Source organism: Homo sapiens, chromosome 5, assembly GCF_000001405.40.
Source record: "Homo sapiens chromosome 5, GRCh38.p14 Primary Assembly".
In the NCBI taxonomy this organism is placed as follows: Eukaryota; Metazoa; Chordata; class Mammalia; order Primates; family Hominidae; genus Homo; species Homo sapiens.
The window spans coordinates 180,103,286-180,127,569 of NC_000005.10; the positions used below are offsets into that span (position 1 = coordinate 180,103,286).

At 50.6% G+C, this 24,284-nt stretch overlaps 1 protein-coding gene across 1 annotated transcript in view, besides 4 other annotated features; it reads right to left on the reverse strand.

The window, feature by feature from the left end:
* The window catches only part of RASGEF1C (RasGEF domain family member 1C), a 108,417-nt gene that overhangs the window by 2,491 nt on the left and 81,642 nt on the right, over window positions 1–24,284 (reverse strand). The window contains exons 7-12 of the mRNA NM_175062.4: window positions 17,775–17,864; window positions 16,061–16,163; window positions 15,502–15,581; window positions 15,324–15,419; window positions 11,161–11,256; window positions 8,172–8,295 (exon numbers count right to left, since the gene is read on the reverse strand). Coding sequence (NP_778232.2) covers window positions 8,172–8,295; window positions 11,161–11,256; window positions 15,324–15,419; window positions 15,502–15,581; window positions 16,061–16,163; window positions 17,775–17,864 — 589 coding nt within the window. The remainder of the gene's footprint in view (window positions 1–8,171; window positions 8,296–11,160; window positions 11,257–15,323; window positions 15,420–15,501; window positions 15,582–16,060; window positions 16,164–17,774; window positions 17,865–24,284) is intronic.
* Window positions 13,216–13,981: an enhancer, noted in NCBI's record as "H3K4me1 hESC enhancer chr5:179543501-179544266 (GRCh37/hg19 assembly coordinates)". NCBI's record gives its function as "activates a minimal SCP1, AML or CMV promoter by ChIP-STARR-seq in naive H9 embryonic stem cells {active_cell/tissue: H9 hESC(naive)}" and the evidence as "EXISTENCE:reporter gene assay evidence [ECO:0000049][PMID:30033119]".
* Window positions 23,324–23,618: a silencer, noted in NCBI's record as "tiled region #5800; K562 Repressive DNase matched - State 20:ReprD". NCBI's record gives its function as "represses a minimal TATA promoter and a strong SV40 promoter by Sharpr-MPRA in K562 cells {active_cell/tissue: K562}" and the evidence as "EXISTENCE:reporter gene assay evidence [ECO:0000049][PMID:27701403]".
* Window positions 23,845–23,894: a silencer, noted in NCBI's record as "silent region_16759". NCBI's record gives its function as "represses an Ori minimal core promoter by ATAC-STARR-seq in GM12878 lymphoblastoid cells {active_cell/tissue: GM12878}" and the evidence as "EXISTENCE:reporter gene assay evidence [ECO:0000049][PMID:35858748]".
* Window positions 23,965–24,034: a silencer, noted in NCBI's record as "silent region_16760". NCBI's record gives its function as "represses an Ori minimal core promoter by ATAC-STARR-seq in GM12878 lymphoblastoid cells {active_cell/tissue: GM12878}" and the evidence as "EXISTENCE:reporter gene assay evidence [ECO:0000049][PMID:35858748]".

Sequence of the window (24,284 nt, forward strand, 5' to 3'; positions counted from 1 at the left end):
CCAGGATGGTCTCGATCTCCTGACCTTGTGATCCGCCCGCCTCGGCCTCCCAGAGTGCTGAGATTACAGGCGTGAGCCACCGCACCCGGCACATCAGCATTAACTTTTAGCGTACACGTCCTGTGCGTGTTCTGTTCCATTTCCACCTACATATTTCATGTGAGTGACTGTAAATGGTATTATCATTTTAGTTTCAGCGTGCACATGTTTATTGCTCATACGTAGAAACATGGTTGATTTTTGCATGTGTGTCTTGTATCCTGCAACCTTGCTGAACTCCCTTATTAGTTCTAGGGGTTTTTGTAGATTCTTTGGGATTTTTTTTCCTCATCATCTGCAAATAGGGACAGTGTTAATTTTTCTTTCTGATTTGTGTGTTACTTCCTGTTCTTGCCTTATCGCACTAACTAGTTCTTCCATTACTATGATGACTAAGAGTGGGGAAGAGTGAACATCCTTTCATTGTTATTGGTCTTACGAGGAAAGCATTAAATCTTCTGCTGTTAAATATAATGTTTGCAGAAGCGTTTCTGTGGATGCAACTTGTCATGCTGATAAATTCCCTTCTATTACTAGTTTCTGAGAGTTTTTACCATAAATGCGTGTAGAAATTTGTCAAATGCCTTTTCTGCATTGATTAATATAATCATGTGTCTTTTCTTCTTTAGCTGTTTAGTATAGTGAATCACACTGATTGAATTTCAAATATTGAACAGCTTTGCATCCTTGGAATGAACCCACTTAGTCATGACGTATAATTATTTTTACATATTGCTGAACTCTATTTGCTTATTTTGTTAAGGATTCTTGTGTCTATATTCATGAGGGATATTGGCCTGTATTTTCTTTTTTTGGTACTGTCTTTGGTTTTAGTATCAGGGTAATACTGGTGCCAGGGTTTGAATGTTTGTGCCCTGAAAAATTCATGTTGAAACATAATCCCGAATGCAACAGTGTTAACTAACAGGTGGGGTCTGGAGGAGGCGATTAGGCCATGAGGTTCCACCCTCATGGATGGGATTAGTGCCCTTATGAAAGGGCTGGAGGGAGCCAGTCTGGCCCCTTTTTGCCCATCTGCCAAATGAGGACACAGCATTTGCCCCTTCTGCCATGCGAGGACACAGCAAGAAGGCTCCACCTTAGAAGCAGAGAGCAGCCCTCACCAGACACAGAATCTGCCTTGATCTTGGATTTCTGGCCTCTGAAACTGTAGATATATATATATAAACTCAGTGGTAAGAAAATGTCTGTTGTTTATGAATTACCCAGTCTAAGGTATTTTGTTACGGCAGCTCAAACTGACTAAGACAACTGGCTTCATCAGGAGGCTCCCTCCTCTGCCACTTTCTGGAAGAGATTGTGGAGAATTGGTGTTAATTCTTTAAGCATTTGGTAGAAGTCTCCAGTGTAACCATTTGAGCCTGTAGACTTCATTTTTGGGAGTTTTAAAATTATAAATTCAATTTATTTAATAGTCACAGGGCTATTCAAATTATCTATTTTATGTCAAGTTGTGGTAATTTGTGCTTTTTAAGGAATTAGTTCATTTCATTTAAATTGTTAAATTCGTGTGTGTGGAGTTGTTTGTCGTATTCCCTTATTATCTTTTCAATGTCTGTAGTCGTTAGTGATATCCTGTTTTACTCCTGGTACAGTAGTCCCCTATTATCTGTGGGGGATACATTCTAAGTCCCCTGGTGGCTGCCTGAAACTGCAGATAGTACGGAATCCTGTATATACTTGTCTTGGATCCCTTTTCCATCTTAACTAAGCACTCATCAGGCACTTCTGCAGTTTGAGATGCAACAGCAAAACTAGCAAGAATTTATTTTTCTTTCTTCAGAATTTCATGGATAAGTTTGTTCTTACTGTAGATCTTAGTAATCTCAGCATACAATTTTTTCCCTTGAGAACTTTCACCTCATCATTTAACGGAAGCACTTTACAGCTTCCCTTTGCCATATCTGAACTGCCTGCATCACTGCTCAGGTACTTTGCCAGGCGCGGTGGCTCACGCCTGTCATCCCAGCACTTTGGGAGGCGGAGGTGGGCAGATCACGAGGTCAGGAGATGGAGACCATCCTGGCTAACACGGTGAAACCCCGTCTCTACTAAAAATACAAAAAATTAGCCAAGTGTGGTGGCGGGCGCCTGTAGTCCCAGCTACTCGGGAGGCTGAGGCAGGAGAATGGTGTGAACCCGGGAGGCGGAGGTTGCAGTGAGCCGCGACTGCGCCACTGCACTCCATCCTGGGTGACAGAGCAAGACTCTGTCTCAAAAAAAAAAAAAGAAGTAAAATAGGCTGGGCGCGGTGGCTCACACCTGTAATCCTAGCACTTTGGGAGGCTGAGGCTGGTGGATCACTTGAGGTCAGGAGTTCGAGACCAGCCTGACCAACATGGTGAAACCCCGTCTCTACTAAAAATACAAAAATTAGCTGGGCGTGGTGGCTCACGCCTGTAATCCCAGTGACTTGGGTGGCTGAGGGAGGAGAATCGCTTGAACCTGGGAGGCAGAGGCTGCAGTGAGCCGAGATCGTGCCACTGCACTCCAGCCTGGGTGACAGAGCGAGACTCTGTCTCAAAAAAAAAAAGAAGTAAAATGAGGGTTACCTGGACACAAGCACAGTGACACTGACAGTTGATCTGATAGCTGAGGTGGCCACTAAGTGACTGATAGGCAGCATAAACACAGCACAAATGCCGGGCAAAGGGATGAATCATGTCCCAGGAGGAACCCAGTGGGATGACGTGTGATTTCATCACACTACTCAGAATGGTGCACAATTCAAAACTTATGAATTATTTCTGGAATTTTCCATTTAGTATGTTCAGACCACGGTTGACTGAGGGTAACTACAGATAAGGGGGGACTACTGTATCAGTAATTTGTGTCTTTTCCTTTTCTTTGTCAAGAGGTTCTTTGCTAGATGGCAGCAATTTTATTGTTCTTTTCAAAGAACCAGCCCTTTGATTAACTTTATTGTTTTTCTGCTTACGGGTTCATTGATTTCTGCTCTTATTTCCATCCTGCTGCTGGCTTTGAGTTTATTTTGCTCCTCTTTTTCTAGATTCTTGATGTAGGAACTTAGATTATTGATTTGACACTTCCCCTTTTTTCTAATGTATGCATTTGGTGCTATAAGATTTCCTCTGAGTCCTGCTTTAGCTGTCCTACAAATTTGATTGTATTTTCAGTCAGTTCAATTATTTTTTAAATTTTCCATGAGCCTCTTTGACCCATGGATTATTTACAAGTGTGTCATTTAATTTCTAAATGTTTCAAGAGTTTTCTGTTGTCTGATGCTACCGATTATAATTTAATCCCACTGTGGTTGAAGAACATAGTGTGTTATGATTTCAGTTACTTTCAATTTGTTTCAGCTTGTTTTATGGCTCAGGAGATGGTATATTTTGGTCTATATTCTGGGGGCAATTTTAAAAAATGTGTGTTCTACTGCACTTGTATGGAGTGTTCTGTAAATGTTGATTAGATTCCTGTTGTTTGATGATATTGTTGAGTTCTTTGTCTTTGCTGATTTTCTGTCTAGTTGTTCTATCAATTGTTCAGAGAAGGGTGTTGACATCTTCAATTGTAATTGTAGATTAGTTATTTCTCCTTTCAGTTTGATCAGCTTTTGCTTAATGAATTTTGTAGCTCTGATGTTTGGTGGATACATAGTTAGGATTGCTATATCTTGGGGGACTGACCCTATTATTACTGTATAATGTCCTTCTTTGTTTCTGGTAATTTTCTTTCTCCTAAAGTGTGCTTTATCTGAAATTAATATTGCTACTCTTGCTTTCCTCTAATTAATATTAGCATGCTATATCTTTTCTTCTTTTTTTACTTATCAAAATGTCTCTATCATTATAGTGAAGTGAGTTTCTTGTAGATAGCCTATAGTTGGATCATTTTAAAAAATCGACTTTGTCAATTTCTTTTACTTGGTGTATTTAGACCATTTACATTTAATGTAATTATTAGTATGTTAGGACTTAAGTCTGCCTTTTTGTCTATTTTTTTGTTTTCTTTTTGTTCTGTGTTTTGTTCTCTGTTTTATTTTTCTTGTCTTCCTGTGGTTTACCTGAACAGCTTTTAGAATTCTATTTTGATTTATCTATAGTTAATTCCTGAAGGATGTTTTCACCGTATATAGGATTCTGGCTTGACAGTTCTTTTGGCAATTGAAAAATGTGCCACTGTCTTCTGGCCTCTTGGTTTCTGATGAGAAATTTGACATGATTCAGAGTGTTTTCCCCCTATGGGTAAAGTGTCATTTCTCTCTCAGTGTTTTTAATATTTAAAAAAAAATTTATTTTTTAATTATTTTTTTTCTTTGAGACAGAGTCTTGCTCTGTCACCCAGGCTGGAGTGCAGTGGCACAATCTTGGCTCACTGCAATCTTTGCCTTCCAGGTTAAAGCAATTCTTGTGCCTCAGCCACCCAAGTAGCTGGGATTATAGGCATGTGCCACCACAGCTGGCTAAATTTTGTATTTGTAGTAGAGACGAGGTTTCGCCATGTTGGTCAGGCTGGTTGGTCAGGCTGGTCTCGAATTCCTGGCCTCAACCAAACCACCTGCCTCAGCCTCCCAAAGTGCTGAGATTACAGGTATGAGCCACTGCACTTGGCTTCAAGATTTGTTTCTTTTCCTTCAGTTTTCAGAAGTTTGACTACAATGGGTCTTGGTAGGGGTTTCTTTAGTTTTTCCTTTTGGGGATCATTCAGCTTCTTGAATCTGTAGGTTTATGTTTTTTCCAACTCTGGGAACTTTCTAGCCATTATTTCTTTGAGTACTTTTTCAGTCCTGCCCTCTTTTTCCTCTCCTCCACAGACTGTGATGACATGAGTGTGGGATCTTTGGTTATAATCCCACAGGTCCCTGAAAATATGTTTCAGTCTATTTTCTTTCTTTCTTTTTTTTTTTTTTTGAGACAGAGTCTCACTCCATGGCCTAGGCTGGAGTGCAGTGGTGCGATCTCGGCTCACTGTAACCTCCACCTCTTTGGTTCAAGTGATTGTCTTCCCTCAGCCTCCCAAGTAGTTGGGACTACAGGTGCCCGACACCACGCTTGGCTAATTTTTTGTATTTTTAGTAGAGATGGGGTTTCACCGTGTTAGCCAGGATGGTCTCGATCTCCTGACCTCATGATCTGCCTGCCTCAGCCTCCCAAAGTGCTGGGATTACAAGCACGAGCCACCGCGCCCAGCCGTTTCAGTCTATTTTCTCCCTGTTGTTCAGATTGTATAATTTCTATTGTTCCATCTTCCAGTTCATAGATTTTTTTCCTCTGCCTTCTTTATTCTGCTGTTAAGCCCATTCACTCAGTTTTCCATCTCAGTTATTGTATTTTTCAGTTCTAAAACTCCCATTGGCTCTTCCTTATTATATCTTCTGTTTCTTTGCTGAGACTTTCTATATTTTCATTTGCTTCAAGGAGATTCAAGTCTGACTAATTGCCAGGTGGGCCCTGCCAGGGAAGCCTGGAGCTGAGGTCAGGGCCAGGTTTTTGTCAGAGGCTGTAAGTGACCCAGCTGGGGCTCAGTACATCCTAGGTCTCTTACCTTACTTCCCTCCACTTTTTTGGGGTTGTGGGAGGGACAGAAGGAAGAGACAGTAAAAATGGAAGATGCCCCTCTCTAACGGGGCTCCAGGAGGGCCACAGTTTTGTCTGTGTTAACTGCTAGATTGTTGCCTGGCACACAGCAGTCTCTGAAGACATATGGTTGACTAAAGGAGTAAATAAAATGCCCCCCTTTTCTCCCTCTCTGCCCTGAGACTCCTCTATGCCTCTCCTCATGTGTCTTTAACTCATCTTAATGCCCAAGTTCCATGAAGAGGTCACTGGCTAATGACAACAATCATCATAATAATTAGGGTAGTAGGGCCAGGCGTGGTGGCTCACGCCTGTAATCCCAGCACTTTGGGAGGCTGAGGCGGGTGGATCATGAGGTCAGGAGATTGAGACCATCCTGGCTAACATGGTGAAACCCCGTCTCTACTAAAAATACAAAAAAAATTAGCCGGGCGTGGTGGTGGGTGCCTGTAGTCCCAGCTACTCGGGAGGCTGAGGCAGGAGAATGTCGTGAACCCGGGAGGCGGAGCTTGCAGTGAGCCGAGATTGCGCCACTGCACTCCAGCCTGGGTGACAGAGCGAGACTCCGTCTCAAAAAAAAATAATAATAATAATTAGGTTGAATAATGGTCCCAGAGGTATCCAGGTTCTAATCCCAGGACCTTTGAATGTTACCTTCTATGGCAAAAAGGAACCTTACAGACATGATTAAATGAAGGATCTGGAGATGTGGAGAATATCTTGGATTATATGTGGGGGCCCTAAATGCAATCACAGGTGTCCTTATAAGAGGACGGCAAAGGGAGATTTGACTAAGGTGGAGAGAAGATGATGTGATGATGGAAGGAGAGATTGGAGTGATGCACTTGGAAGATGAAGGAAGGGGCCACAGCCAAGGAATACAGGTGGCCATTAGAAGTTGAAAAGGCCAGGAAATAGATTCTCCTCTCAGGGCCTCCAGAAGAAACCAGCCCTGCTGACAGCTTGATTTTAGCCCAGAGAAACTCATTTCGGCCCTCTGGTCTCCAGAAGTGTATAAGGAAACTCATTTCAGCCCTCTGCTCTCCAGAAGTGTATAAGGAAACTCATTTCAGCCCTCTGCTCTCCAGAAGTGTGTAAGGATAAATCTGTGTTGTTTTGAGCCACCAAGCTTGTGGTGATTTGTGACAGCACCAACAGGAAACTCACGCACTAGTGTGGATTGAGGGTAATTGTGTGGACTTCGCCTGGGCAGCTCCAGGCATTCTCCCCGGGGCCCTGGGGAGCAGGTTCTCACATCACCCCGCTTTCCAGATACTGCAGGAGAGGCTTAGAGACGATGAGTCCTGCTCATCGCACAGCTCGCTGGGGTGGGAGCGGCTCAGACAGGTTTATTCATCAGCTGCTCGGCTTCTTAGTGGCATTGCAGGGAGGTGGCTACAGATAGGGGTGAAAGCCCCTCCAAAAAGTTCCCAGCTTCAAAATATAAACAATAAAATGGCAAAGTTGAAAGTATTCAAAAGCAAAATCATTAAAAGATCCTTCTCCCTTTTTTTTTTTTTTTTTGGAGAAAGTAAAAGTGCCCACTGAGCCTAAGTGTGGGTCCCTCTGTGACATGCTTGCTGTGATGAGAAGCCAGGTCTTCTGCGTCCTGAGCAGGCCCTCTCAGGGTGATGTGGGGCCGCGGGGCCATTCCACCCCAGCTCAAGCCCACAGGGCCACTTGCTTCTCTACCACTTCTGCTTCCTGAAAGCAGAGGGCCCCGGGACCTGCCCCCTTAGCACGCTTGCAAGCAAACCTACATCTGACAAATGATCATATGGAAATGCTTATTTAGTGGAGAGGACAGAAATGAATGGCACTGCAGCAGAGGCCTCACCTCGTGCCTGTGTCTGTTACACCTGCACACACGTACACGCCTACACAGTCAGTGCTGTGCTTGGCACTCCCCACGTAAGCTCTGGGAAGGTGATTTTTTTTTTCTTTTTTTGAGACGAAGTCTTGCTCTGTCACCCAGGATGGAGTGCAGTGGTGCGATCTCGGCTCACTGCAACCTCTGCCTCCCGGGTTCAAGTGATTCTGCTGCCTCAGCCTCCTGAGTAGCTGGGATTACAGGTAGGCACTACAACGCCCGGCTAATTTTTGTACTTTTAGTAGAGACGGGGTTTCAACATGTTGGTTAGGCTGGTCTCAAACTCTTGATCTTCTGATCTGCCTGCCTCTGCCTCCCAAAGTGCCGGGATTATAGGCGTGAGTCACTGTGCCTGGCGAGGGTGATTCTTATCATCATCCCCACTTTACTGAGGAAAGTGAGCCAGACAGGTAGATGGTTCTGATTTAGAATTCTAAAGGTGTCCAAACTGTGTCCGGGGAGGAGCCTGGCCCCGGGGGTCCTTGAGGCCCCAGCTTGGACCTCCTCAGGCCCATCCTGTACTCCTGGAGTGGCAATGGGCCAGCCAGGGGGATGGAGCCCTCCTTGTTCCCTCCCGGAGCCAGCCCAGGTGGGCAGGGTGCATCCCTAACCTACTCAGAGCAGGGGTCCTGAATGGTGACTGAGAGGCTACCCCAGAGTTCCGTGGCCCAGTAGGCAGGAGGGCTGCAGGGCTACCTTACCATCCTCACTGAAGATGGGGGCGGTGTACAGGTAGTGGGTGATGCTGGCGTCTTGCTCGAAGGGACACTCCACTTGTTTCCAGGTGATGAACTCCCCCACCTGCTTGGCCAGCTCCAGGAATTTCTGCCAGGGTCACAGAGACACAGAATGGAGGCACTCCAGTGCCTGGAGGTCCCCATGAGGGGGAGGGGCTGGTCCTGGCAGAGACCCTCTCAACACCCAGTGGCTTTAGGGCTCTGAGGAGGAGCAGGGGGCGATAAATGAGGGCGAGAGCAGTCCTGGCCTGCAGCCTGTGTGGAGCAAGAGTGGGCCTGGTTTTATGTCATTGTATTTACTTTGTTGTTATCCTCTATGTATGGCAAGTGATACATGTTTGTTGATTTATGTAATTATGCAAATATATTTAAATAGGTATATTTAAGTAAGACTTAAGTAATTCATTTAAGTGTGATTTTATTTAAGTAAAATGTAAACACATGTATTTAATTTTTAAAAAAGGTGCCAACTTTAAATAAAGAGCAGTGCACAGTTGTGAATGGCAGGGACCCCCGCTCCACGACACCCTTTGATCTGCCCTGGAAGCCAGGTCCAGTCCCTTCTGCTTGCTCCCCAAAGCTGGGACCACACAAGCACCTTGTAGTCTTACCTGTCCCTGGCCTCAGCTCTGAGGATCAATTCAGGAAGGGCTAAGGCAGGGGGTTCCCACGCCTGGCTCTGGGCTGGTGTCACCTGCGGAGGAGGATCCCAGTTCCCTGGGCCCCTGCAGTGTCTTGCCTAAGTCCCATCTTGTCCACATCACCTCCAGCCTGGGCTAACCTAACAAACAGGTGAGGCAGCCTGGGACCCTCTAACAAGGCCTGTGGGTAGCATGTGACGGTCTGCTGGGGTGTCTGTGAGGAGGGCAGCTCCAGGCCCAAGCGTCTGGCCATGTGCTGTGGTTCCCAGCTGCAGGGGACACTCACAGCCCACGGAGGCCATGCTGCACCTCTACCCCCAGCCCCTCTCTGGGCTATAGATGAAGACCCATCTTACACAGGGAGAGACTGAGGCTCAGACAGAGCAGTGACTGGTGACTGGCCCAGGACTTACGGCTCCTTGGAGTTGGAAGCTGGGTGGGGCCTCGCACCCACTGTGTCACCCACTGCTAAGGCCAACGCTAGGGTGGGGCTGGCTCTCAGTGGGAGAAGAGCCCCCTCCTTCCTACAGACTCGGGGTCCAGCTGCTGCATGGCATGCTCTGTCTGACTCAGTGTCTGCCTAGCTCACAGCTACGCCGAGACACGTGTGCTGGGTGGGCCCTTTTGGAGGTCAGGATACGGAGCGGGTCAGCCTGGCCTTTCTTCTCAGGAGCTCAGGGACTCGGGTGCAGTGACTGAGGATGGATGGAGGGACCAAGGATGGACGGAGGGACCGAGGATGGACGGAGGGACCGGGGATGGACGGAGGGACCGTGGATGGACAGAGGGATCCGGGATGGACGGAGGGACCGGGGATGGACGGAGGGACCGGGGATGGACGGAGGGACCGGGGATGGACGGAGGGATCCGGGCTGGACGGAGGGACCGGGGATGGACGGAGGGACCGGGGATGGACGGAGGGATCCGGGCTGGACGGAGGGACCGGGGATGGACAGAGGGACTGGGGATGGACGGAGGGACCGGGGATGGACGGAGGGATCGAGGATGGATGGAGGGATCTGGGCTGGACGGAGGGACCGGGGATGGACGGAGGGATCCAGGATGGACAGAGGGACCGGGGATGGACGGAGGGACAGGGGATGGACGGAGGGACCGAGGATGGACGGAGGGACCGAGGATGGACGGAGGGATCCAGGATGGACGGAGGGACCGGGGATGGACGGAGGGACCGGGGATGGACGGAGGGACCGGGGATGGACTGAGGGATCCGGGATGGACGGAGGGACCGGGGATGGACGGAGGGACCGGGGATGGACGGAGGGATCGGGGATGGATGGAGGGATCCGGGATGGACGGAGGGACCGGGGATGGACGGAGTGACCGGGGATGGACGGAGGGACCGGGGATGGACGGAGGGATCGGGGATGGACGGAGGGACCGGGGATGGACGGAGGGATCCGGGATGGACGGAGGGACCGGGGATGGACGGAGGGATCGGGGATGGACGGAGGGATCGGGGATGGACGGAGGGATCCGGGGATGGACGGAGTGACCGGGGATGGACGGAGGGACCGGGGATGGATGGAGGGATCGGGGATGGACGGAGGGATCGGGGATGGATGGAGGGATCCGGGCTGGACGGAGGGACCGGGGATGGACGGAGGGACCGGGGATGGACGGAGGGATTGGGGATGGATGGAGGGACCGAGGATGGATGGAGGGACCGAGGATGGATGGAGGGACCGAGGATGGATGGAGGGATCGAGGATAGATGGAGGGATCGAGGATGGATGGAGGGATGCCCAGCCTGCTGTGCTTTGGGAGGCCTGACAGGTGGGCTCTCTCTGCCTGGCAGGTCCAGGGGGGCTTCCTGGAGGAGGAGACACTTGAGCTGAGAGTGGTGAGTGTCTACAGAGGGAGCAGAATTCTTTCTTTTCTGTTCACTCTGGCCTCGGCCTGATAGCGTCCTCCTGCTACTCAAGGCTCCGCCTTTGGGCTGGTCCTGACCCCCAGGGCACAGCCCCTGTCACAGCACCTTGCTGGTTGTCACTGTGGGCCCACGGAGCTGCCTTTCTCGCCAGCCTGGTGCTCCTCAAGGGCTCAGATGGACCCTGCTTCACCTGTGCTGGCCGTGCGGCGCAGCCTGGATGGACATGACCCTGAGCCTCAGCATCTCCACTGCAGTGGATGTCAGGGTGGGAGGACCCTGATAACCTTGCCAAGGTCGGCTGTGAACTGCTCATTCTGCCCCAGGGTCCCCCATGAGGCTGGGTGTCCAAGGGCCAGTGGTCCTGCCCTGGGAACTTTTCCCGGCCTGTCTACCTCAGTGGCGGTCCACACGGAGGTCCTACCTCAAAGTTGACGTGTCCATTGGGAAGGCGGTTGGCGCAGCCCTCATTCAGGAAGTAGATGTCTTTGATGAGCAGGCTGAAGAAAGGAATGACAATCTGGAAGAAAGAGGGGGCAGGTCGGCCCCAGCCGGCCCTCCACACAGCGGGCTCCAGGACGGGGGGCAGCCTTGCCAGCAGATAGCTGCCCCAGGGACCTCAGACCCGACCCCAGGGTGCAGAGGGCAGGGGAGACTTCCTGGGCTAGCCGGGGCCTTGGGACTTCACGGGTTACGAGGTGAATTCCTGTGCACCATGGAGGGCAATAAGGACCCCAAAGAAAGGAGCAGGCGCGCATCACCCTGCAGAGCGCCGTGGTGCCACCGCCCGTCCTGGGGCTGGGTAAGAGATGCACAGTCACGATGACCCTTGAATATTCCTTCCACTGCCTTCTGGGAGGGGCTGGTAGGTCTCCACTACCCCCATCCCCATCCAAAGGTCCACAGGCTTGTGGGCACCGGGAGGTGCAGTCCCTGCTGAACACACTGTTGAAGACACATGGAATAGATGTGCATCAACTATTCTGAAATTTGGTGGCCTCCTTTTTTTTTTGAGAGGAGTCTCACTCTGTCACCCAGGCTGGAGTGCAATGGCGTGATCTCAGCTCACTGCAAGCTCCGCCTCCCAGGTTCAAGTGATTCTCCTGCTTCAGCCTCCCGAGTAGCTGGGATTACAGGCACCTGCTGCCACGCCCGGCTAGTTTTTGTATTTTTAGTAGAGACGGGGGTTTCACCATGTTGGCCAGGCTGGTATTGAACTCCTGACCTTGTGATCTGCTCGCCTCGGCCTCCCAAGGTGGCCTCCTTTTTAAAAAAAAAAAAAAAAATTTAACAATTTGTCCCCCTCTGTCTTTCTTGATGCTAAGATCTGATCCCGATGCACTTACTGTTAGACCAAAAGCAATTCTTGCTCCACTGCCTGAAGGAAAAGAAAGGCTCACGGACCCCGCCTGTGAAGGGCTGCGGGCTGCGTGCAGGCCCCCCCAGACTCTTCACTCCTGACCTCATTGTAGTGGGAGACACAGTTGTAGGAGTAACCTACAAAATGAGGAGGCCTCATCTGGCAAATCTTTGCTAATCCCAACTCCCCACTGCCGGCTGGGTTTAGTCTCCATCTGTGCTCCCACAGAGCCCGCTACTTATGCCTTTATCAAGCCTGCGTGCCTCACTGCTGGGCTATATACAGGGTTACTTTCCATCTTTACATGGTCCTGTGAAGCAGGGCTCTCATGACCCCATTTATACATGAGGAAGCTGAGGCCCAGAGAGGTTAAATACCTTGCATAAGCTCACACAGCAGTGAGCAGCGGAAGCAGGGCTGAGTCCCAGGTGGCTCTGCCCTAGTGCCCCGTCCTACCTCTTCCTCACTGTGCCGGGATCAGTGGTGGGGGGGGATTGTGGGGGTGGTCTGTGTCTGTGCCCTCCCTCAGTGGTGCTGAGTCCCCAGTCCTAGTGCAGGTTCTGGACAGCCGAACTGTGTTGGAACAGGGAGACGCACCAAGACAGGGAGGGGGTTTAAGGAATGTGGGACTCCGCACACAGAGGAGGCTCCTCTGGGGCCTGGTCTGGGCTTCCTGGAGGCAGTGGCATTGAGCTGGTCCTCAAGAGGTGGCGCGTCCCATACGTGAGCACTTCTCACCCCTTCCGCCATGGCCACGCCACTCAAGGCCACCCCCCATGTCTGACCTGGTCTCCCTGCCCTCGCAGCAGCCAAACAGGCCTTTGTATCTGCAAATCCACTGCCCTTGCTTCTGACATGAGAAGTTTAATTACAGCCCCGGTCAGCTTGGAGGTCACCCGGATAAGTGGGCCCTGTGACACAGACTGGGAGAGGGGCAGTTGCCGCCCACAGACAGGAAGGAAGCGTAAAGTGCTACGACCACCGAGATCTCCCAGCCCCATCAACTCAGCTGGGGCACCAGGAAGCTGTGAGCACCACTCTAAGTATCCCTTTCTCCTTCCTCCTTCCTTCCCTCCCTCTGCCCCTCCACCCCTCTCCATCCATAAAGCAGCTTTTGTGGGCCTAGCCCAAGACCCGCCTCTCTCTGGAAGTTAGAGGACAATGCGGTTAAAGTCAATACGCAGCTGTAAGCCGCCCGCCTACAGCACCAATGCACAGCATCCCAGCACCCAGAGCTGGAAGGGGCTCAGAACACAGGCATCCGAATCCCAGTCTGTCTACCTGCCCCACAGCCCCCGTGTCCCAGCGGAGATGAAGGAAGTAGTGCGGAGCGCCCAGGCCATGGCTGACGGCTCCCAGCCCAGCTCGGCACCAAGCTCCTGTACACCGACTCTGCATCCAACCTAGGCCTGTAGCCAGTGCCCTGCGAACACCACACACACCCACTGCCTGGGAACAGGAGTCAGCCTGGCGGTGTGCAGACCACGAGCTTCAGAGCCAGACAGGCTGGAGTGTGATCCTGGCTCCGCCACCTACCTGCAGTGTGAGTGGACTAGTGAGGTCTCCCGCCCGAGACTCAGTCTGCTGATCTGGGAATTGGCAATGCTGATGCCCCCATAGAGTCGTTGTCAGAATTCAGTTGGGGTATGGAGGCCAAGTGGCTGGAATGAGGCAGGTGCTCAGTGACATGAGGTTCCTACCCCTGCTGTCTGGCTTCCCGGGCTCCGGCTCCTGGCAGGCCGCCACCTGCCCTGGGATTTGAGGTCTCGCATCCCTGGGTGCTGCTCCCCTCTGCAGCAGACCCCTGCCTGGGACCCAGAGTCACTGACACACTCACAGCCTGAACAGGAAAGGCCAGCTGGACAGGACAGAGCCATCCGTGTGGCCGGTGTCTGCCCCTTGGGTGGAGGGCCAAGAAGGCCCGGCAGGTGGCACAAGCGTGCACACCTCAGCTTGCTTCCCAAACCTGCCCACTGGCTTCCCTCCAGTGCAATTCCAGGGGCACCTGCATTCCAACACCAGCGATGTGTTCTATTATCCTCAAGCTGGAGACAGACATGCATGCACCACAGCAGGGACCTGATCCCACCAATGTTCCCGCATGGCACGGGCCTTCAAAGGTACAACAAGTCTTGGAGTTTCCTCTCCATAGAGATGAACAACTCTAATCATCAGGATGGTAACAGGTTTCAAGCCAGAGGATCATTGCAATCCCAGAGCCTGTGCATGACTCTCTGTACCACATGCCATGAGTAGAATTTGGAGGAAAAATAAAATTGATCAGGTCCGCAGAGGCTCCACAAATGCAGGGATATAAGAATACAGGCTGTGGCTGGGCGCAGTGGCTCACGCATGTAATCCCAGCACTTTGGGAGGTCGAGGCAGGGAAATCACCTGAGGTCAGGAGTTTAAGACCATCCTGGCCAATATGGTGAAACTCCGCCTCTACTAAAAATACAAAAATTAGCCGGGCATGGTAGCATGTGCCTATAATCCCAGCTACTTGGGAGGCTGAGGCAGGAAAATCGCTTGAACCCAGGAGGTGGAGGTTGCAGTGAGCCAAGATTGCACCACTGCACTCCAGCCTGGGCGACAGAGAGAGACTCCATCTCCAAAAAAAAAAAAAAAAAAAAATACGAGCTGTGAACAGGGAGTTTGGGTGAGGAAAAAGCTTGGTTCAGTGATTGCCAAAAATGTAAATGTGATCTGAGGCCACATAAATAAAAGTATTACGTTTAGAATCAGGGAGGTGGAAGATCCTGTGTACCTGGCACCTCAATTTTATCTGAAACAGAAGAAATTTTGACAAATGGAGCTGTTTAGGGACCAAAGGGCCCCAAGTGGGGAGGAGCCTGGAAACTGTAGTGTGGCAGGGCAGGTCTGGGGCCGCTGACTCCGGAGAAGAGAGGAGAGGCCATGGGGGCTCTGAAGAACTGGTGAGCAGAAGACGAAGTGGCCTCACTCGTGTGGCCCCCCAAGAAAGGATGACCCCAGGCAGCCCGGCTTCAGGCCCTCATGAAGCACTTCCTGTCAGTCAGAGCTGTCTGAGGCTGGCTTCCCTCAGGTTTTGGGAGGTGGTGAGTTCCCCACGCTGGAGGCACGCAAGCAAGGAGACCTGGCTGTCTATTACTGATGCTGCAGGGGGCAGGAGCTGCAGCAAGTGAACTCTGAGCCAGCACCCAGGTTCCCTGCTGCAGCCCCCCTGGGCCAACGTGGCCCCGACCTACCTTCTCTCGGCTGCTGTGGGCCGTCAGGGAGCGGTGGGCCGCCCCGCGCAGGGCTGTCCTGTAGTTGCAGAAATTCCCCGTTGGGTCCATCTGGTGCTGGAAGGAGACAGGGAGGCATGTGGGCAGTTCTGTCCAGGGGATGGCCGGAGGCACCCGGCAGCCCAGCAGCCTCATTTACCTCGAGGATGAAAAACTTGGCCGTCCTCACTTTGGCCCAGGTCTTCTTCAGCCTGGAGACAGGGCTCATGTTCATGCCGGCTGGAAGAGGGAGGAGGGTTGGAGAGGGCTGCTCCTGGGACAGGGGGGCCTCTGCGTAGCTGCACCCCCTTGGACTGCACCCTGACCAGGGCTGAGGTCTGCAGGGCTCAGCCTGTCACATGGTGGGTGGGTGAGGGGGTGCTGGTGGACATCATGGTCAGGTAGGCCTGCTGCCACCATGCTGGTCCCATTCTGTACCAAGCACCTGCACTGGGCCCTCGTTCTCTCTGGGTCTGGGGACATACCACCAAGCCCTCACCAAACATCCCGAGGGGGCTGGGCTTGCCTCAAAAGGGGTGGCTCCCCAGGACCTCTGAGGTGGGGACATGGGGCTGCCCAGGCCTTCAGAGAGCCCGGCCCACGCCCTCCCGCTGCTCAGAGGAGAGCCCTGGCTTGCACTCTGCCTGCCTGGCTGCACCCACTCCGGCCTCTCGGGGGACCCGTGCACTGGGGGCCACAGGCCAGGCCGGCCCACTCACAGATGATGGCCATGAGGGAGTTGAAGTTGCCGATGTTGAAGCACTCGCGGGCCACGTCGATGAAGAACTCAATCACCTGGGCCCTCTGCTTCTTCTTGGCTGGCTGGGGACAGGGCAGCAGAGCCTCAGTGGTGACACGCCTCCACCCTGCCCTGATCAGGCCCGCTCCCCTCACCTGGCCCGCTTCACCTTCTCTAAACCCATTGCACAGCTGAGGCACTTGAGGCTCAGGGTAAACAGGGTCTCAGAGTGCTTCATGGGCTGAGCCAGCAGAGCCCAATGCCATAGAGGGCTAGGTGGGCCCGGTGGGGGCACGGGTACCCCCTGTAGCCCTGGAGCTGCTGAGAGGCACCTTCAGGAGAGGCTCCATGGCTCCCCTCCAGCGCCCTCCTCCCTCTGGGCCCAGCTCCCACCCCACTCTTCCCCTGAATTAGAGAGCCCCAACTACTTGCCCCCAGCCCTGGGCTTTCTCCTCTCACTGGGGTACAAGTTGGCCCTGAGGCCTGTCCCTCGAGCAGCCCCTCCGCTCTCTCCATCTGACAACTGCGTGACTGGTAAACCCTTGTCTGTGGCCAGGCGCTCGGGACTTCAGACCCCTGTGATGCGCAGAACCACACCATGTCCTTCCCCAGCCATCCTGGGCTGCAGCTGGCTCCCTGGGGGGCTCAGGCCAGGCTTCGCCCAGGCTCGGCCCTCTCGCCTGCAGCCAGCGGCGTGAGGGTAGGAAGTGGGCTGGGCCGGTGGGGCCCGCGTTGCATTCTTTCCACACAGGTCGGTGTTGCTTGCCTACCAAAGATGCACCAAGGGGTCTTTACTGTCACCAAGAAGTGGGGTGTTGTGCTCTGAGATGTGTCACCAAACCCCCTTCCAGGGGCTGTCTTGGCCACAGAGAGCTGCGCACCCAAGGCTGGCCCTGTCCTTTGAAGGGCAGTCCGCCCTGTGATGGGGGCTGAGCCAGGTGGGGGACAGAGGCCAACTCCTGTGTCCATCGCCACGTCGCATGGGGCCGCCTCCTCTCTACTCTTCTCCGCAGGTGTGGACCCCTCATGAACATGTGCCCCATACTCAGTCTCAGCACCTGCTGCGGAGAGCCCAGCCTGGCCCAGCGCTGCCTCCAGCCTGGCCCTGAGATGAGCAGCCCCCTGGGCTTCAGCTCAAGGTGAGAGAGTGGGTTCAGAGGAGGGTCCCTCTGCTGCAAGGAGGAGGACGGGTGGGTGTGGCCAGGCGGGACCGCGACTCAGGGACAAGCACGTCTGGCTCCAGGCTGCTGAGTGTTGGTGCTTTCCAGGAGCAGCTAGAACCACGGGCTTTTACGTGCATCTCCCAGTGCTCAAAGGTCGGCTCTCGTCCTCCTCTAGGTCCCGAGCCAGCCAAACGAGGCCCGTTGCAGGCCAGGCTGCCCAAGGCAGGCCGGCACAGATGGAGAGAGCAGAGCCACTGGGGCTGGGAGTGACGGCCTCTCACTCCTTCAGCAAACCCTCTCCAGCACCCTCTGTGCCTGGCCGGTGGATCTGGCCTGGGTTCTACTTGGAGGGAAATGTCACTGTAGGAAAGCTGGTGTCACCTGGAGTCCTGGAGGGGTGCCCAGCCTGGCCTTGGACTTAGAAATGAATAAGACTCAAGGTGTCCTTCCGGTTCCTTCCCCCGTGGGCTCCTCCCAACTCCGGCCGCCTGGGGCTATGCCAGGTGGTGCCCACCCTGGCTGTCTACTCACCATGCAGATCTCAGTTGCCACCAGGTAGCACAGCCTGTTGAACCATTTCACATAAGCCTCCAGGTTGCTGGTCTTGTCACTGAAGCAGGGCTAGAACAAACACAGCACACGGGACCACGTTCTGAGCCTTTTTGTCTATCATCTTTTAGAGCATGAAGTCAGTTCATGATCCTTACGATCTGGGAAATGTTAAAACCCCCAAACCATCCAGAAATACCAAAGATTTGGTATGTACGCTTTCAGTCCTCTTAAAAGTACATTTTTTTTTTTTTGAGACGGAGTCCCGCTCTGTCGCCCAGGCTGGAGTGCGGTGGCGCGATCTCGGCTCACTGCAAGCTCCGCCTCCCGGGTTCACGCCACTCTCCTGCCTCAGCCTCCCGAGTAGGTGGGACTACAGGCGCCCGCCACCACGCCCAGAGAATTTTTTGTATTTTTAGTGGAGACGGGGTTTCACTGTGTTAGCCAGGATGGTCTCCATCTCCTGACCTCGTGATCCGCCCACCTCGGCCTCCAAAAGTGCTGGGATTACAGGCGTGAGCCACTGCGCCCGGCTAAAAATACATTTTAAAATGTAACTTCACACACACACACACACACACACACACACACACACACACACACACCCTCATTATTCCTGGATCCTGTATTTGCAAATTTGCCTGCTCTCTAAAATGTATTCGTAACCCCAAAAACTTGTGTCACTTTCGTGGTCGTCTGTACACACGTGTGCGGTGGCAAAAATATCGAAGTCATGAGCGTCCGCAAGCATCTCCAGAGGAGGCTAAGCAATGCTTTGTCCCGCATCACACGCTCAGACTTGGCCTACTGAGTATCATGTCCTTTGCATTTTCATGCTTTTTGCTGATAATTTCATTGCTGAGAAAGGCCCCCAAGCATGGTGCTGAAGTGCCGTCTAGTATTCCCATGCGCACAAAGGCTGCTCTGTGCCTCACAGAGAAAATGTGTGTGACATCAGCATTCAGCTGTGAGTAACAGCACTGTTAGCCATGAGATCAATAGTAATCAATAATTTATATTAAATAATGTCTTTAAACATAAGCACACATAAAACAAGGTGATATATTGATCCGCTGGCAAAAGCCTTGTGATGAGAGTCTCACAGGAGCCTAACCTTGCATTTCCCCCCGGGAGCGATGGTTCTGTGCTCCCTCACTCGGTGCTGCAGCTGCTGGGAGTAATGGGCACCAGCTGTGTGTATGCATGCATCTATCATAACCATATATATTCCCATGCCTTGCTATGCGAACCTTTCCCTGTGCCATAACATATCCTTTGGAAAAAAAATTTTTAAATGGATTTAGAACTTTCCACTGTATAATATACCACCATTTAAAAGATGAAACTTAACCTAAATGTGTTTGTTAAAACTGCCAGGGTAGGCCAAGCGCAGTGGCTCACGCCTGTAATCGCAACACTTTGGGAGGCCAAGGTGGGTGGATCACCTGAGGTCAGGAGTTCAGGAACAGCCTGGTCAACATGATGAAACTCTGTCTCTACTAAATATACAAAAATTAGCTGGATGTGGTGGTGGGTGCCTGTAATCCCAGCTACTCAGGAGGCTGAGGCAGGAGAATCGCTTGAACCCGGGAGGCAGAGGTTGCAGTGAGCCGAGATTGTGCCACCGCACTCCAGCCTGGGAAACAAGAGCGAAACTTCATCTAAAAAAAAAAAAAAAAACTAAAACAAAAACAAAAAACAAAAAAAAATCCCCAAAAAACTGCCAGGGTAACTTTCAATAAATAGAGGGGAAGATGGAATGGGGGACCTATTCATCCAAAGGAAGCAAAGGAAGGAGGAAAAAGAAACAGATAAGGAAGATAACTATGTGGTACAACAGAAGATAGCAAGAACAAATTCTTATGGACTAGTGATTACAACACTGTAATTAACAAATGCAGCTGCTTGCCACTTTCAAGAGATACACTCCAAACACAAGGATATAAGTAAAAAAAAGAGAAAAATATATCTGATAAATATTACGTAACTATATTAACATTGAACAAAATAGACTTTAAGGCAACAAAAAAGACCCTGAGGCAAAAAGCTGTAGGAGAAATTGCATAATGATAAAAGGGTCAGCTCATCAGGGATATGTCACAAGTCTTAACTTGATTGCAGCTAGTAACATAGGTTCAATATATGGAGGCAAAAACAATCAGAAAGCTGAAGTTCTTTATCAGGAGAAGTTGAGTCCTACAGTCACATGGAAGATTTTAACACACATGACGGTAACTAGTAGCTTAGGGAGATTGAAAAAGAAAAACAAAACGCAACCCAGGATGAATATGAATCTCAGCAACACAATTTGAAGCAATAAACAAACACGGAAACTTGAACTTAACTACTTGAGAATACGCATTCTTTTCAAATGTTCAGAAACTTAAAAAATTTTTTGAAATAATCTATGTTTCAAAGATGAAATCATAATGGAATTAGAATGATAATGAAAATGTTAAAAAATAAAACTTGGAGGCTGTAAATAAAAATTTATGTAAAAAGAAATCAACCATCTTTCATGCTTTTATTAGAAAAGAAGGATAAAAACAAGCTGAACATCCAACATAAGAAACTAGAAAAAGAATAACAGTATAAATCCAAAGAAAGTAGATGGAAGGAAATAATAAAGAGTAGAGAAGAAAGAAATGAAATAGTAAAAAAAACTGCAATCTACAGAATCAACAAAGTCAAAAGATCTTTATTTGAAAACATTAATAAAATTGATGAACCTCGGATAAGATTGATAAAGAAACAAAGAGAGGTGTAAATAATCAAAATACTAGAGATGGATCAATGTAGATGTGAAGAAATTAAAAAGATACCTAGAGAATATTACAAATAATTGTATGTCTATAAATTTGGAAACTTAGGGGAAATGGCCAAATTCCTAGGAAAATATAAATTACAAAACAGACTAAAGAAGAAACATAAAACCTAAATAGTCCTAAAACCATTAAATTAATAACAAGAATAAACAACGAAACAAACAAACAAACAAGAATAACCTTGAATCAGTACACGAAAGTCATCCCTCAAAGAAAATACTCGGGAGGCTGAGGCAGGAGAATGGCATGAACCCAGGAGGCAGAGCTCGCAGTGAGCCGAGATAGCGCCACTGCACTCCAGCCTGGGCGACAGAGCGAGACTCTGTCTCAAAAAAAAAAAAAAGAAAAAGAAAATACCAAGCCTAGATGGTTCCACTGGCTAATTCTACAAAATGCTCCAAGAACAAGTAATTCCAGTCTTTCAGGAAGAATAGAGATCAGGGTAAGAGAAACAAAGACTACACAAGAACAGTATCAGAAGGGGAAATAACAGTTCAGTCTCACTGACGATTATAGTTGCAGAAATCCTAAAACATTAGCAAACCAAATCCAGGGAAGTGTGAAAAAGATAATGATTTCATTTATCCCAGTTTCGTTTATCTCAGAAATGCAAAGTTGGTTCAACATTGATTAAAAAAACAGCCTGGCGCAGTGGCTCACGCCTGTAATCCCAGCACTTTGGGAGGCCGAGGAGGGTGGATCACTTGAGGTCGGGAGTTCGGGAACAGCCTGACCAACATGGTGAAATCCTATCTCTACTAAAAATACAAAAATAGCTGAGCTTGGTGGTGGGCACCTGTAATCCTAGCTATTTGGAAGGCTGAGGCAGGAGAATCTCTTGAATCCAGGAGGCGGACGTTGTAGTGAGCGAAGATCGTGCTATTGCACTCCAGCCTGGGCAACAAGTGCAAAACTCCGTCTCAAACAACAACAGCAATAAAAAACTAGGCCAGGTGAGGTGGCTCACACCTGTAATCCCAGCACTTTGGGAAGCCAATGCAAGCAGATCTCTTGAGCTCAGGAGTTCTAGACCAGTCTGGGCAAACATGGAGAAACCCTGTCTCCACAAAAAATACCAAAATTAGCCAGGTATGGAGGCATGTGCCTGTAGTCCCAGCTACTTGGGGGGCTGAGGCAGGAGGATCACTTGAGCCCGGGAGGTTGAGGCTGCAGTGAGCTGTGTTCACATCACTGTACTCCAGCCTGGGAAAAAGAGCAAGACTCTGTCTCAAAAATACCAACAACAACAACAACAAAAAACCCAAAACAAACAAAAGAAACATTTATTTTAAAAACTAATATAAACAATCAGCTAACAGTTTAAAGGAGAAGAGAATATGTGAGTAACAGATCCAGAAAAAATAAATGAAATTTAACAACCATTCATGATGAGAATTCTGAGAAAACTAGGAAGGAACAGGATACTTCCTTAAGCTGATAATAGACATCTCAAGAAATCCTGTAGCAAACATCATACTCTATTGGGACAACACGTTAAAAGCATTCCTTTGAAAATCAGGATAAAATAAGGATGCCAGCTATCAATACTTCTATTTGACATTGTACCAGAGGTGCAAGTTAGCACAATAAGTTAGTCAGGCCGGGCGTGGTGGTTCATGCCTGTAATCCCAGCACTTTGGGAGTCCAAGGCGGGTGGATCACCTGAGGTCGGGAGTTCGAGACCAGCCTGACCAACATGGAGAACCCTTGTCTCTACTAAAAATACAAAATTAGCCAGGCGTGGTGGCGCATGCCTGTAATCCCAGCTACTCGGGAGGCTGAGGCAGGAGAATCGCTTGAACCCGGGAGGTGGAGGTTGCAATGAGCCGAGATCGCACCACTGCACTCCAGCCTGGGTGACAAAAGTGAGTGAGACTCCATCTCAAAAAAAAAAAGCTAATCTTAATTGCTAATATAAATATTGATAAATATAATCCATATAACCAAAAGTTAATTGGGGTCCTTAATAATTTTTAAGAGTATAAAGGGATCCTGAGCCTTTTGAGAACGGACACCCTACAGAAAGTGTGCACTCGTGTATACCAGCGGGTGTAAGAATGTCCACTGTGGGAATATTTATAACAGCAAAAAGCTGGACACACAAATGTTCATCTACAGTAGGGGGATAAAACAAATGTCATGTGTCGTCTTGATGTATTTCACAATAAAAAAGTAATATTTGGAAATGGCCCCAAACCAAACAAAAAATCTTACAAGAATCTCGGCCGGGCGCGGTAGCTCACGCCTGTAATCCCAGCACTTTGGGAGGCCGAGGCGGGCAGATCACAAGGTCAGGAGATCGAGACCATCATGGCTTACACGGTGAAACCCTGTCTCTACTAAAAATACAAAAAATTAGCCGGGTGTTGTGGTGGGCGCCTGTAGTCCCAGCTATTGGGGAGGCTGAGGCAGGAGAACGGTGTGAACCCGGGAGGCGGAGCTTGCAGTGAGCGGAGACCGCGCCCCTGCACTCCAGCCTGGGCGACAGAGTGAGATCCGTCTCAAAAAAAGAAAAAAAATCTCCCTCCCGTTCCTGCCTCCCAGCACCACAGTTGTTCCGAATTCCCAGAGCAGTCAGCATTCCTAGAGAGTGCTGACGGACACAGGCAACATACATGGTTTTGTGTTACCCTCTTTTTTTGTTACCCAAATGGTCACACACTCTCGCCCCTGCTCTTCCCTCTACCGTTTTCTCTCAGTGCCTGGAGGGATAGGTCTTGGAGGTTGTTCTGTCCACCTTATTCCCTTTCACAGCTGCACACCATTCTAGTTATAGACGTTTCATAATTTGTAATCCAGTCCCCATGGGTGACAAGGCAATCTGCCCCCAGTGTTTGGCCATAATAAACATTGTCTATCCCAAATATCTTCGTCCGTGCATGTTCGTGTACATGGGTGTGTATCTGTGGGATAAATTCGTAGGTATGGAAAATTGGGGTCAAGAAAGTCCATTTAGAGCGTCGATGCTAGTGCCAGTCTCCCCTCCAAAGTGGCTGCGCCAGCTTCACCCCAGCAGCCACGTGGAGTGTGTCTTCCACAATGTGTCTAACCTACTAGGTGATTTTTGCTTATCTGAGAAGTGAAAAATGCAATCTCATAGTTTGTACTTTTATTAGGTGTGAGGGCAGAAGGCACAATGTTTGCAATTCTGGCTTGGATTTAGCCCGTGGGAGGCACCGGCACCCTGCTGGTTGGGCTCCCAGAAGGGCGGGATCGAAATCCGGGTGCGTGGGCTGTGTCCTGAGCACCGGGACCCAGGAGTTCCCTTACCCATCCCGGGCAGCGGGCAGCAACCCGCGCTTCCCCGCGTGGCCGCTGGAGGGCACCGGCGCCCACCGAAACGCACCGGGAAGGCGCACGGGGTCCCGGAGCGCGCCAGGGGGCCCTCCACCCTCCTCCCTGCCCAGGGTCCTGGCCCACCCGAGCAGCGCGGCCCACGGCCTGGTTCCTGGCCCACTCCTCCTCCCTCGCTGGGTGGGTGACCCCCACGTCCCGCACGTCCAGGCTTTCCGGGGACTCGGGACTCGGTTGTCGTGGTGCGCCCCCGAGCTGGAGGGGCGTGGCGGAGTGGGCAGGGCCCCCCGAGCCCACCTGTCCCACTCTGGGCCACTCCAGCGCTCGCCCAGAGAAGGCTCGCGGGCTCCCCGGAGAGCGGCCAGTCACTGGG